Source organism: Homo sapiens, chromosome 17 (genome assembly GCF_000001405.40).
Source record: "Homo sapiens chromosome 17, GRCh38.p14 Primary Assembly".
In the NCBI taxonomy this organism is placed as follows: Eukaryota; Metazoa; Chordata; class Mammalia; order Primates; family Hominidae; genus Homo; species Homo sapiens.
The window spans coordinates 2,777,199-2,790,741 of NC_000017.11; the positions used below are offsets into that span (position 1 = coordinate 2,777,199).

The following is a 13,543-nucleotide window of genomic DNA, read 5'->3' on the forward strand; positions in this document are numbered from 1 at the left end:
ATAGGGTGTGTGTGCGTGCGTGAGGTGTGCAGCCCCTGTCAGGATCTGGCGAGAGAAGCTGACCGGGATGGAGGTCAGAGGTAGGGTGTTTACAGGTGGTGGTAGAAGGAAAACAGCCAGGAACCCCAGGAGGACCCTGGAGCTAGGCTGGGCTTCCTGAAACCCCCCATCCCATCCTCGCTCCAGCCTGTGCCTATTGCAGGAAGAGGAGCTAGGGAGGTGGGCTGCCGGCTGAGAGGCCTTGAGGGATCTTTGGGAGCGGGGCCCGATTTCAGCCTGATCCTCATTTCCAGAGGCCTGGATGGGTGTGGGGGTGCCGGCCCTGAGTGGGGGGTCCAGGGCAGGCGTGTGTTCAGGAGACCTCAGGGGTCCGTGTAGACTGTCCTCTGGCTTTGCCAGCACCAGGTGCTGTGTGTCTGGACCTGGGAGCTGGCTGAGGGATACCCTTGCTTCCTCTCATTTGTTTTCTATAGCTCCCCCTACATGCTTGTTAACAAACCTGAAGGGCACTTGTATGCCAGTGGGGTTTGCTGGGATGTGCCCTGTTGAGGGGCTGTCATCAGAGAAGCCTCCATGGGGAATGAGAGAGTTGTCCTGAGCCAGGTGCCAGGGCTCTTGGGTTCTTTGCCTGCGTTGTGACCCTGGGGCCATCCCTCAAGCCCTATACGCCTCAGTTTCCCATGGCGCTTTGCCCTCCCCCTTCTTCCTGTTGCAGGGTGGGGAGTAAACAGCTTGCACAGCTGCCAGGAGGCTGGGAGGCTGGGAGGCGGGGAGGCTGGGAGGCTGGGAGGCGGGGAGGCTGGGAGGCTGGGAGGCGGGGAGGCTGGGAGGCTGGGAGGCGGGGAGTGACTCAGGGTCTGTGAGGTCTTGGGCAGCGATTTTTCAGGCGAAAGTCCCAGCACATCTTCTCGACTTGGGCAGGAGTTGGGGGAGGCTCTGCCCTCAGCTCCAAGCTGTGGTGCTGGGTTTTCTGAGTCCTGGGGTGGGGTGGGGTGGGCATCTGTTGGATTTGGCTGCTCAGGCTTCAAGAAGCTGCCTCTGGTCCCTCCTTCTTCCCAGATATCAAGTAGTTGGAGAGGGATGGGGCTGGGGGGCCTGGTAGCTGGGTGGGATGCGGGGGCGGGAGCTGAAGTGCTACAGCAGCCTCTCTTGGTTCCTGTGTTTGATGTTACTGGGCAGAGACAGATGCTAAGCTTGGGTAGGGTCGGGGCTGGTCTAAGTGGGACTGCTCAGCTCAGCATGTTGAGGCAATTTGGTGGGAGGTGGCCTCAGCTCCAGAGAAGAGGACCCTGCTGCTGGAGGCACGCTTGCAGCTCTCCTCACCCTCTTTCCCATGACCCTGTCTGATCAACTCTGGCTGAGCCACCATGGCTCAGAATGACTTGAGCCTTGAGGGAAAGGGACCCTGGCATGGATGGGGGTGGTGGCAGGGTCACATAGTGGCTAAGCATGAAGGCCCTGCTGTCACTCAGACCTGGGCGTAAGTCCCAGCTCCATCACCTACTGCTGTGGCCGCACCTGCATTCCCCTCAATGGGAGCCCGAGAGAAAGGCTTGCAGGCTGTGGCTTATTTGGGAAGCAATCTCAGGAAACAAGGGCGAGGACATGGGGTTTGAAGGAGAGGGAGGGGAAGCAACAATTTGATTATTCCCACCACTCTCCTGGGCGGTGTTCTGAGGAGCCTTACAGACAGAACTGCTCTGTTGGGGAGAGAAACAGGGAAGCACTTACCCATTAGCCCCATCCCCTGCCAGACAAGGGTGGCTCTGTGGACATTCGCTCCCGTGTGGACTTCCAGATTGCACATGTGTGGGGCTCAAGTGGTTCCCTGTGGGTACTCCACACGGCAGCTTCCAAGAAGGCCCAGCGTGGCCTGACATGAAGCACTGTCCCATTGCACCTGTAAGATGCTGCTTGGAGCCTGTGGGGACCTGGTCATTGCAGAAGTGTTTGGAGTGAGAGGTGGGGCCAAGAGGGCTGGAAGCAGCACACTGAGGTGCCTAACACTGCGTGACCTTGGCCAAATTACCTGACTTCTCTGAGCCTCGGTTTCCTTAGCTGGGTGTTTTAAGTGTTAATAAGGCATTTATTGAATTTTTGAACATGGTGATGGCCCCATAGCAAGGGCTTCACCCGGGGTATTTCTGTGTGGCCAGGAAGACCACATGCCCAGGGTGGCTCAGATAGTCATTCACTCAAGTGGAGGTGGGTCCGCATAAGAGGACCTCTAAAGACCCCTCCCGGTCATAGGACCTGGGGCTCAGGGGCCAGACTGCTGACCTGGTCAGTTCCTCTAGGGCTGTGGCCCAGTTTCCCAGACCTCCTGAATGCTTCCATTTCACAGCCTATGAATTGGAGTCAGCGATGTCCTGCTCCTGGGCTGGCCGCTCAGATATACCTCTTCCTGGGCTCTGCCTCAGGAGGACACAGAGGCCAGCACTGGGCAGAGGAGGGCGAGGGGAGAGGACAGCTCAGAAGCAGGTGCTTGAAGGAGGAGTGGAGGGAGGGTGGATGCTGGCATTTCTGGCATTGGGAGCTGGCATACGGTCATGGGCATGGGTCTGGGCCATAGTCAGTGGGGGAGGACAAGGCAGGGGGCTGGGGGGGGGCAGGAAAGGAAGGTGAGCGGGTTGGCAGAAGGTGGCCAAGAAGCATGGAAGAGACAGGGACAGGGAGTGGGTTGGGCAGCCTTGGCGTATGGGGATTCACAGCGTCTGGGGTGGTGGTAACCAAATGGGAGGGGGATGAGGTGGCAGGAAGGAAGGGAGGGCATTGGGTGAGGTCTAGCTGGGCCTTCCTAGGGCGTAAACTGGGGCAGTGTTCGTAGTTCGTGGTACAGCATCCACAAGCCTCCTCGTTCCTTTTTTTTGAGATGGAGTTTCGCTCTTGTTGTCCAGGCTGGAGTGCAGTGGCGCGATCTCGGCTCACCGCAACCTCCGCCTCCTGGGTTCAAGTGATTCTCCTGTCTCAGCCTCCCGAGTTGCTGGGATTACAGGCGTGCGCCACCACGTCCTACTAATTTTTGTATTTTCAGTAGGGACAGGGTTTCTCCATGTTGGTCAGGCTGGTCTCGAACTCCTGACCTCAGGTGATCCGCCCGCCCTGGCCTCCCAAAGTGCTGGGGTGACAGGCGGGAGCCGCCGCCTCTGGCAAAAGTCTCTTCATCCTTTTTTCCACGGTGTCCACCTGCCCCTCCCAGGCCACCGCCCCGTTTGACAGGGGAGGAGTTGTTTGCAAACAGTTCCTGTTATGAGCGGCGATTGGAGAAGGTCCACAGGTGCCTTTGCCAAGGCCTGTTGCCATGGTGGCATGGTGGGCCTTGTCTGCCTACCCTCTCCCATCTCTGAGCAATGTGCACCCCCCCCAGGAGAGGTCACAGAGTGGGGAAGGTGTCCAGCTGCCTCTTTGCTCACACATGGCCAGCTCAGGCTGGCCTTACAAAGGTCACTGCGTTCATCCCTCTGCCTGCAGGCAGGGTCACACCCAGCCTATGCTGGGAGACCCAGCAGCCGCCGTCTTCATTACAGCCATTTAAAGTCTACTCCGATCTCTGCAATTTGTTTTTAATAAGTTTAATGAAAAATAAAGCAATGATACTAGCCTATTCATCTGCTCCCCTTTTAAAGCGGGCATCTCATGGATGATACTCTTCTTGTCCACACCTCTCTCAGTGCTTTGGTGCCTGTCCAGTAGGAAGTTCTGCCTCATGTCTGATCTCAGCCTGACATGCTGTACTGTTTTTGGGTGTGTTTTGTGTTTCTGATTTTCTATTTGTTGCAACCCTTCAGGGATTCCAGATGGTTCTAAGGGCATTCCTGTCTACCTGCTCATGATCTGGAGCAGTCGCAGGGGCACCCAAGGCAGGTGTGATGCCAACGATACAAGGCTGTGCCGAGCCCCTGGCCCCGGCCACGCTCTGGTTCTGGACTTTTGCAGCTTGCTCTCAGGGCCAGCTGGTTCCCACTCCTTTCCCTAGTTCAGATCCAGGATTACTGGCCTCCTTCTTGGACCATGCTGGGCCTGCTGGCTGCGCTCTGCCAGGTCTGGGTCAGCAAGCAGATGGCAGCAGGCATGGGCACTTGGGGGACTCTGGCACAGTCAGGGCCCTGCCGATTAGATGGCTGGTGGAGAGCAAGAGCAGGAGGGGAGAGACAGGGAGTGACAGGCAGTCGGGAACACTGAGGTGTGCCTGTGCATGTGGACACATCTGTGCTTGGTGTGCACGTGTGGCCTTGGAGGGCTTGTTGCTGGATTGCTGTGTCTGGACATCTCTGGGTGGTTATATGTGGTTCTTCTGAGCACACCCCTGTGTGTGCACCGTGTGAGCACGTCTCTGTGTGAGCACGTCTCTGTGTGTGCACGTCTCTGTGTGTGCAGGTCTCTGTGTGGGCACGTCTCTGTGTGTGCAGGTCTCTGTGTGAGCACGTCTCTGTGTGAGCACGTCTCTGTGTGTGCAGGTCTCTGTGTGGGCACGTCTCTGTGTGTGCAGGTCTCTGTGTGTGCACGTCTCTGTGTGAGCACGTCTCTGTGTGTGCACGTCTCTGTGTGAGTACGTCTCTGTGTGTGCACGTCTGTGTGTGCACGTTTCTGTGTGTGCACGTCTGTGTGTGCACGTCTCTGTGTGTGCAGGTCTCTGTGTGGGCACGTCTCTGTGTGGGCAGGTCTCTGTGTGTGCACGTCTCTGTGTGTGCACGTCTCTGTGTGTGCAGGTCTCTGTGTGGGCACGTCTCTGTGTGGGCAGGTCTCTGTGTGTGCATGTCTCTGTGTGTGCACTGTTGTGTGCTCTGGGTTGTTCATGGGTACTTTCTCTGGATATGTGTGCCAGCCACCTACTGGGTGTCTCCAGGGTTCTCAAGAGTGTGCCCATCTGGATGGCAGGTGATACTTTTTCCCTGCAGGATTTCCTGCCCCCACGGAGGCTCCCTTGAGTCTTCTGCCATGCCCCATCCCGCCCTCTCTCCAGGCTTCCTTATCCTGTTTCTCCCTCTGTCTGAGGAAGTTGCTTCTCCCCCTCTGGCTGTGTGGGCGTCCACTGCCTTCTGGGCAGGGCCTGAAGAGGGACGGCAAGTCCAGCCTCCAGCCCCATCCTCCCGAGCTCTGAGCTGAGGGTGATGGGCTCAAGCTCTGAGTTGAGGAGATGAGTCAGGGATGGCTGCAGGGGGTGGGCAGAAGTGGCCTGTGTGTCAGCATGCTGTAGGGAAGTGTGTGCTCTTGCCCCCCTCCACCTGACCCGCCCTCAGTGGCTTGGGCACCAGTGCAGCTGTGATGAGGCTCCCTTACCTTCATACTCTTCCCCAGTAGCCTTGGTTGGCACAGTTTCTGATGGGGAGCAGAGTGGTCTCTGGGGCTCCGGGCATCCAATGGGGGCCTTGGCCTTAGCATAATTTATCTCACCATAATCACTGGTACTAATGGAGCTCTTCCTGCACCAGGCCCTGGACTACACACTGTACATGTAATCAGCTCATTTACTCCTCAGAACAATCCCATCCCAGGGGATAGTAGGTCCTATTAGGTGGGTTCGAAAACATCCCTGGCCAGGCGCGGTGGCCCATGCCTGTAATCCCAGCACTCTGGGAGGCCAAGGTGAGTGGATCATCTGAGGTCAGGAGTTCGTGACCAGCCTGGCCAACATGGTGAAACCCCGTCTCTACTAAAAATACAAAAAATTACCCGGGTGTGGTGGTGAGCACCTGTAATCCCAGCTACTTTGGAGGCTGAGGCAGGAGAATCTCTTGAACCTGGGAGGTGGAGGCTGCAGTGAGCCCAGATCGTGCCCCTGCACTCCAGCCTGGGTGACAGAGTAAGACTCCGTCTCAAAACAAACAAACCATCCCCATTTTATGAGGAAGTTTTCCCATTTTATGAGGAAGTAGAGGCTCAGAGAGCCTGGGTTACTTCCACAAGGTCACACAGCTAGTAAGTGATGGAGCCGGGTTCTGAACCCAGACCCGTTCTTCTGCTGTTCCCTCCGCTCTTCACAAAGCTGTGAAGCTGTGTCCGTCTCGTCTTGGCAGTCTCCCTCTCAGAGAGGCCATCCCAGATCACCCCCTCTACACAGGACTCCCTAGCCATCTGGTCCCATTTGGATCGGATCACCCTATTGTAAATACCTGCATAAAGGTAGCCCTCATTTATCCTCTACTTCCTAACCCCCTCTTCCCCACCTAGAGCAGGGACCTGTCTGTCTTGCTTACTAAAATATTCTTAGAACTGGAAGACAGCTTGGAACACAGTAGGGATGCAATAAACATTTGATGAATGAATGAATTAATGAATGAAGAGAGGACTGACTCCAGACCTAAGCTTGAAATCCCTCCTATATACTGTCTCTTACACAACAGGGACTGTTGCAGAGTGGCAGGAGCACAGGCTCTGGAGCCAGCTTGCTTGGTTCAAATTCTGGTCCTGCCAGTGTTCTGGTTATCTAATGCTGCTTAATAAACCACCCAAAGCTTATGGCTTAAAACACTGGTGACACTGATTTTGCCCATGAATCTGCAACATGGGCAGGGTTCAGTGGGGATAACGCTTCTCCACTCAGCATTGTCTGGAGTGTTTCAAGGTCTAGGGGCTGAAGCCATCTGAAGGCTTAGTCGCTCACACGTCTGGCGTTTCTTGCTGGCTGTTGGCTTTGGGTCAGTTCCTCTGCACATGGGCCTCTCTATGTGCTGTCTCCACATGCTAGATTGGGCTTCCTCCCAGCATGGTGGCTGAGCTAAGGGACAAGCATGCCCAGAAAGAGAGCCAGGTGGAAGCTATTTCACTTTTTATTTTATTTGTTTATTTATTGAGATGGAGTCTTGCTCTGTTGCCCAGGGTGGAATGCAGTGGCGCAATCTCGGCTCACTGCAACCTCTACCTCCCGGGTTTAAGTGATTCTCTTGTCTCAGCCTCCCAAGTAGCTGAGACTACAGGTCCATGCCACCACGCCAGGCTAATTTTTTGTATTTTTAGTAGAGACGAGGGTTTCACTGTGTTAGCCAGGATGGTCTCGAATTCCTGACCTTGTGATCTGTCCTCCTCGGCCTCCCAAAGTGCTGGGATTACAGGCGTGAGCCACCACGCCTGGCCTATTTTTATTTATTTAGAGACAGAGTCTCGCTCTGTCGCCCAGGCTGGAGTACAGTGGCGTGATCTCGGCTCACTGCGACCTCCATCTCCCGGACTCAAGCGATTCTCCTGCCTCAGCCTCCCAAATAGCTGGGACTACAGGTGCCTGCCATGACACCTGGCTAATTTTTGTATTTTTAGTAGAGACAGGGTCTTGCCATGTTAGCCAGGCTGGTCTTGAACTCCTGACCTCAAGTGATCCGCCCGACTCGGCATCCCAAAGTGCTGGGATTACAGGCGTGAGCCACCGCGCCCGGCCAGCAGTTTATTCTTTTAGCAGCAGCTACACTTTTGCTCACTGATCCCCTGGCCACAGGTGAGGCTTGGGTCTGTCCCCAGATCCCCGCCTACTCTCATGTAGTCCAGGAGGCATCTTACTGTGCAGAGCCCTGCTGAGGGTGGGGCCCGTAATGAGAGAAGGGGGAACTTGAATGGGAAAGGCCTTTTCTGTCCCAGTTTATTATCTCATTACAGGTCAGCCCTGCTCCCTTCAAGGGGCCTGGGACACATGTTGCTGATGGAGATACCATGAGGGTGGGGCTCAGGCAGAATTGCTCTGGGCTTGGGGCTGGGATGAACCCCACCAGACCCCCATCTTTATCCAGGAAAAATCAAGATGGTGAGGCCTGAACATGCTGTGTTTGAGCTGAGGGAGCTCTCCGCTTCTCCCTGTCCCTGCCGCCTGCTTCCACCTGAGTCACTGTTCATCTGCCTGCGGCATCATCCCCCTGCGGCATCATCCCCCTGCCTCGCTTGCTGGCCTCAGGGAGGAATCTCAGGGTTTGCTCCTTGTGGCCCAGGTTAGGGCTGCTCCTGAGCAGAGCGTTGGCAGGGGGCCCAGGAAGAATCTGGGGGTTTGCACGAGCCCAGCCTGGCAGTGTCTCCCATCTAACGCAGCCCTCATTTAGGGCCTGCTCTCCTCTGAGCCTTCCCTGAAGGAATGGCAGAAGGGCTCAAAGGGGGACTCTGGGTTTGAATTCTGTCACCTTCCAGCCCTGTTAAGGAAGGAGACCACTGCTCCTCCTGCTGCCCTCCTGCCCCCACCTTGCCTAGTTCACAAGATAGGAGGAGAGAAAAAGCAAAAAGTTGGAAAAAAAAAAAAAGTAAGATAAATAGCCAGACAACCTTGGCACCACCACCCGGCCCTAGGAGTTAAAAAAAGTGATAATTATAACATCAACCCCTGACCTAAACTACTTTTGTTATCTGTAAATTCCAGACACTGTATGAAAAAAGCATTGTGAAACTTTTTGTTCTGTTAGCTGATGCATGTAGCTCCCAGTCACATTTCCCACGCTTGCTTGATGTATCACGACCTTTTCACGTGGACCCCTTTAAGTTGTAAGCCTTTAAAAAGGCCAAGAATTTCTTTTTCGGGAAGCTCGGTTCTTAAGACGCGAGTCTGCCGATGCTCCCGGCCGAATAAAAACCTCTTCCTTCTTTAATCCGGTGTCTGAGGAGTTTTGTCTGTGGCTCGTCCTGCTACACTGTGACCTTGGACGAGTCTCTTAACCTCTCTGAGGCTCCAGTTACTTACCAGGAGGGAGACTGTGGTATGGTAAAGATGAAAGGAAGTAAAAAGTATGACTTTTTTTTTTTTTTTTTTTTAGACAGAGATTTGCTCTTGTTGCCCAGGCTGGAGTGCAGTGGTCAGATCTCGGCTCACCGCAACCTCCACCTCCCGGGTTCAAGCGATTCTCCTGCCTCAGCCTCCTGCGTAGCTGGGATTACAGGCATGTGCCACCATGCCTGGCTAATTTTGTATTTTTAGGAGAGACGGGGTTTCACCATGTTGGCCAGGCTGATCTCGAACTCCTGACCTCAGGTGATCCGTCCGCCTCGGCCTCCCACAGTGCTGGGATTACAGGCGTGAGCCACCGCGCCCAGCCTGGAGTTATTCTTTACAGATGAAAAACCTGAGGCAGAGGGAGTTTAAGTGGTTTCCTCACAGCTACATTTAATGTCAGGACTGGGGCTGGAATCCGTGTGTTCTGACACCAGGTGGTGGTTGCTTATCTTTTGCAGGAGGAGGATTTCCCCCTCCCTTCAACCCCTTCCGCCAGAGGGCAACATGGCTGCCATCCTAGAAACAAGCCCAGGAAGACGCTCCCTTTCCTCCTCGCACCACCCAAGCTTGCCTGCAGAGGGCGCAAACGCCCACCTTCTGGCCGGTCCTGGGAGGCGCCAGGTGCCCCGCCTTAGCAGGGGAGGGCGGGAGTGACCCAGCTGGGTGGGTGTGGGCAGAGTTGGCTGTGTGTTCTCCTTTAGTGAGAAGCTCCTTCAGACAGCCCCCACGGTCCAAGCCTTTCTTTTCTTTTTTTTTCTTCAATTTTTTTTTTTTTTAATGTTTTGCGATGGAGTCTCACTCTGTTGCCCAGGCTGGAGTGCAGTGGCGTGGTCTCGGGCTCACTGCACCCTCTGCCTCCCGGATTCAAGCGACTCTCCTGCCCCAGTCTCCTGAGTAGCTGGGATTACAGGCAGGTGCCACCATGCCCGGCTAATTTTTGTAGTGTTTAGTAGAGACGGGGTTTCACCATCTTGGCAGGGCTGGTCTCAAACTCCTGACCTCAAGTGATCCACCCACCTTGGCTTCCCAAACTGCTGGGATTACAGGCGTGAGCCATCGCTCCCAGCCTTTTTTTTTTTTTTTTTTTTTTTGAGATGGAGTCTCGCTCTGTCCCCAGGCTGGTGCGCAGGGGCGCGATCTCTGCTCACTGCAACCTCCGCTTCCCGGGTTCAAGCCATTCTCCTGCCCCAGCCTCCCAAATAGCTGGGGTTATAGGCGCATGCCACCATACCTGGCTAGTTTTGTAGTTTTTAGTAGAGACAGGGTTTTACCATGTTGGCCAGGCTGGTCTCGAACTCCTGACCTCAAGTGATCCACCCCACCATGGCCTCCAAAGTGCTGGGATTACAGGTGTGAGCCACCATGCCCAGCTTTGGTTTTTTTTTTTTTTTCTTTTTTTTTTTCGAGACAGAGTCTTGCTTTTTGGCCACACTGGAGTGCAGTGGTCTTTACTGCAGCCCCAACCTCCTGGGCTCAAGTGATCCTTCCACATCAGCCTTCTAGGTAGCTGGGAATACAGGTGCACAGCACCATGCCTGGCTAATTTAAAAAAATTTTTGTACAGATGGGGTCTTACTATGTTGCTGGGACTGGTCACAAACTCCTGGGCTCAAGCAATCCCCCTGCCTTGGCCTCCCAAAGTGCTAGGATGACAGGTGTGAGTCACCACACGCTGAGCCTGTTTTTTTGTTTTGTTTTGTTTTTTTTGAGATGGAGTCTTGCTCTGTCGCCCAGGCTGGAGTGCAGTGGCGCCATCTCAGCTCACTGCAAGCTGCCTCTCCCAGGTTCACGCAATTCTCCTGCCTCAGCCTCCCGAGTAGCTGGGAATACAGGCGCATGCCGCCACACCTGGCTAAGTTTTTGTATTTTCAGTAGAGATGGGGTTTCACCATGTTGGCCAGGATGGTTTCAATCTCCTGACCTCGTGATCTGCCCGCCTCGGCCTCCCAAAGTACTGGGATTACAGGCATGAGCCACCGCGCCCAGCCTGTGCCTGTTTTTTAAAACTTGAACTTTTAGCATATCTTCATATATTAACATATATTAAGTGCTACCTCGTTATTTTCAGTGGCTAGATAGTATTCCATTGTACGCTTATTCTGCAATGTAGTTAATCCTCAGTTGATGATCATTTAGATTATTTTTTGAATTTGCTATTATAATGATATGATTAACATCTGTATACATAGATCTTGTCAAGTGGTATGAGTTAACCTGTGCAATAAATTTCTAAAAACAAAATTGTTGGCATAAAGGGTATGTGCACTTAAACAATTTTGATAGAGTGTATTAGTCAGGGCTTTGCAGAGAAATAGAACTAATAGGAAATATATACATATGTATATAGGGGTGTGTGTGTATGTGTGTGTGTGTTTAGATTTATTATGAGGGATTGGTTCATGCAATTTTGTGGGGTTTTTTTGTTTGTTTGCTTTGAGATAGAGACTGGCTCTGTTGCCCAGGCAGGAGTGCAGTGGCACAATCTCAGCTCACTGCAACCTCTACCTCCCTGATTCAAGCAGTTCTCCTGCCTCAGCCTCCTGAGTAGCTGGGATTACAGGTGCCCGCCACCATGCCCAGATTTTTTTTTGTATTTTTAGTAGAGACGTGGGTTTCACCATGTTGATCACACTGGTCTCGAACTCCTGACCTCAAGTGATCCACCTGCCTTGGCCTCCCAAAGTGCTGGGATTACTGAGCCCCAGCCAGGCATGAGCCACTGCACCCCATCAGGTTAATGCAATTTTGGAGGCCGAGAAGTCCCATGATTTGCCGTCTATTAGCTGGGGATCCAGGAAAGCTGGTGGTATGTTCTAGTCCAAGTCCTAAGGCACAAGAACGAGGAGCGTTGATAGCTGAGGGCAGGAGAAGGCGGGTTCTCAGCTCAGGCAGAGAATGAACTCTCCTTTCCTCCACATTTTTCGTCTATTCAAGCTCTCAGTGGATTGGTTGATGCCGGCCCACATTGGTAAAGCGGCATCTTCTTTACTTAGTCTACCAATTCAAAGGCTAATCTCTTCCAGAAACAACTCACAGACATACCCAGAAATAATATTTCAACAGCTATGGAGATATCCCCTAGCCCAGTCAAATTGACACATAAATTTAACCAGCACAGAGATATTGCCCAATAGCTACACATTAATGGGACGCCCGTTTCCTTATACCTTTACACAATTATCAATTTTTTCTTTTTGAGATGGGGTCTGGGCTCTGTCACTCAGGCTGGAGTGCAGTGGCCCAATCATGGCTCTGCTTCCTGGGCTCAAGTGATCCTCCCACCTCAGCCTCCCAAGTAGCTGGGACTACAGGTGCCTGCCATCATGCCCCACTAATTTTTGTATTTTTTGTAGACATGGGGGTTCCACCATGTTGCCCACACTGGTCTCGAACTCCTGAGCTCAGGTGATCCACCCGCCTTGTCCTCCCAAAGTGCTGGGATTACAGGTGTGAGCCACCGTGGCCGGCATTATCAAATTTTTAAAACTTTATCTGATGGGTAAAAGTGATACCTTGTTATTATTTAAAATTTTTAACTGTAGTAAACTTCGTAGCTTCTTTAGTTCAGAGCCATGTGTGGCTAAAACTCTCTTGGCAGATGGACCTTACTGAACAGATAAGAATAAACTGCAATAATTTTGGGAAACTGAGGCGGGCAGATCACCTGAGGTCAGGAGTTCAAGACCAGCCTGGCCAACATGGTGAAACGACTCACAGACAGTCTCTACTAAAAAAAAAAAAAAAAAAAAAAACATTAGCCAGGCATGGTGGCGTGTACTGGTAGTCCTAGCTACTCTGGAGGCTGAGGCAGGAGAATTGCTTGAACCTGGGAGGCAGAGACTGCAGTGAGCCGAGATTGCACCAGTGCACTCCAGCTTGGGCGACAGAGTGAGACTCCATCTGAAAAAAAAAAAAAAAAAAAAAGTAAATAAATAAATTGTGCAATTGTGGTATATGTCTGGGCCCTGCTCTTGGAACTCAGTTTTTACAAGCCCTCCCTTTGCAATCTGCCATCATCTTGCTTTTCAGCACTTGTGCAATGGGAAATTTAGTCTGGACCTTGAGATAGTGCAGGTGGGCAGTGATCTGTGGACTGTAAATCACTATGCAGATGCTAGGTGCTGTTTTTATCTTGACCCTGAGGCGTGAATTCTTCACTAATGTGGGGTTGCTGGCCCTGAATGCCCACTGTGCCCTGTTTCCCTGGAGACCAGCATCTTTCTCCATCATCCTTTTTTTTTTTTGGTGGTTTTGAGATGGAGTCTCCCTCTGTCACCAGGCTGGAGTGCAGCGGCATGATCTCAGCTCACTGCAACCTCCACCTCCTGGGTTCAAGCAATTCTCCCGCCTCAGCCTCCCGAGTAGCTGGGATTACAGGCATGAGCCACTACACCCAGCTAATTTTGTATTTTTAGTAGAGACGGGGTTTCTCCATGTTGGTCAGGCTGGTCTCAAACTCCCGACCTCAGGTGATCCACCCGCCTTGGCAGGTGTAATCCCAAAGCGCTGGGATTACAGGCGTGAGCCACCGCACCCGACCTCTCTATCACCCTTTATCTTCATATGGTTTATGAAGGAAGCAGAGGCCAGTCTAAGTCTCCCCTTGGATGACTAGTAGGCTGAAGTCTCAAAAGAGTAGGTCACCTGCCCCCAGTGACTTAGAGGTGGATCTGGGATGAGAGCTGAGCTCCAGGGGGTTAGTACTGGGGCTGGAATGGGTACTACTGTCTGGATGGGGGAGGATCTGGGTCAGACCACCTAGTGCCTGCTTCACTCGGGACATCTGTTTCCTGAGCTTCCTGTAACTGCCTCATCCCCATGCCTGGGGAAGGAGCTTGTCTCATCTTTCAGCTCCCACTGGTG

General features: G+C 53.1%; 1 protein-coding gene across 7 annotated transcripts in view, besides 1 other annotated feature; it reads left to right on the forward strand.

The window, feature by feature from the left end:
* RAP1GAP2 (RAP1 GTPase activating protein 2) overlaps positions 1 to 13,543 on the forward strand; it is a 282,097-nt gene that overhangs the window by 21,554 nt on the left and 247,000 nt on the right. Inside the window, exon 1 of one of the 7 annotated variants that reach the window (XM_011523741.3) lies at positions 32 to 80. The exons of the other annotated variants lie outside the window; for them this stretch is intronic. The gene's annotated coding sequence lies outside the window, so the exon portion shown is untranslated. Of the gene's footprint in view, positions 1 to 31; positions 81 to 13,543 lie in introns of those variants that run through there. 7 annotated transcript variants of the gene reach the window in all.
* Positions 5,168 to 5,368: a silencer, noted in NCBI's record as "peak2687 fragment used in MPRA reporter construct". NCBI's record gives its function as "represses an SCP1 promoter by STARR-seq MPRAs in K562 erythroleukemia cells {active_cell/tissue: K562}" and the evidence as "EXISTENCE:reporter gene assay evidence [ECO:0000049][PMID:32103011]".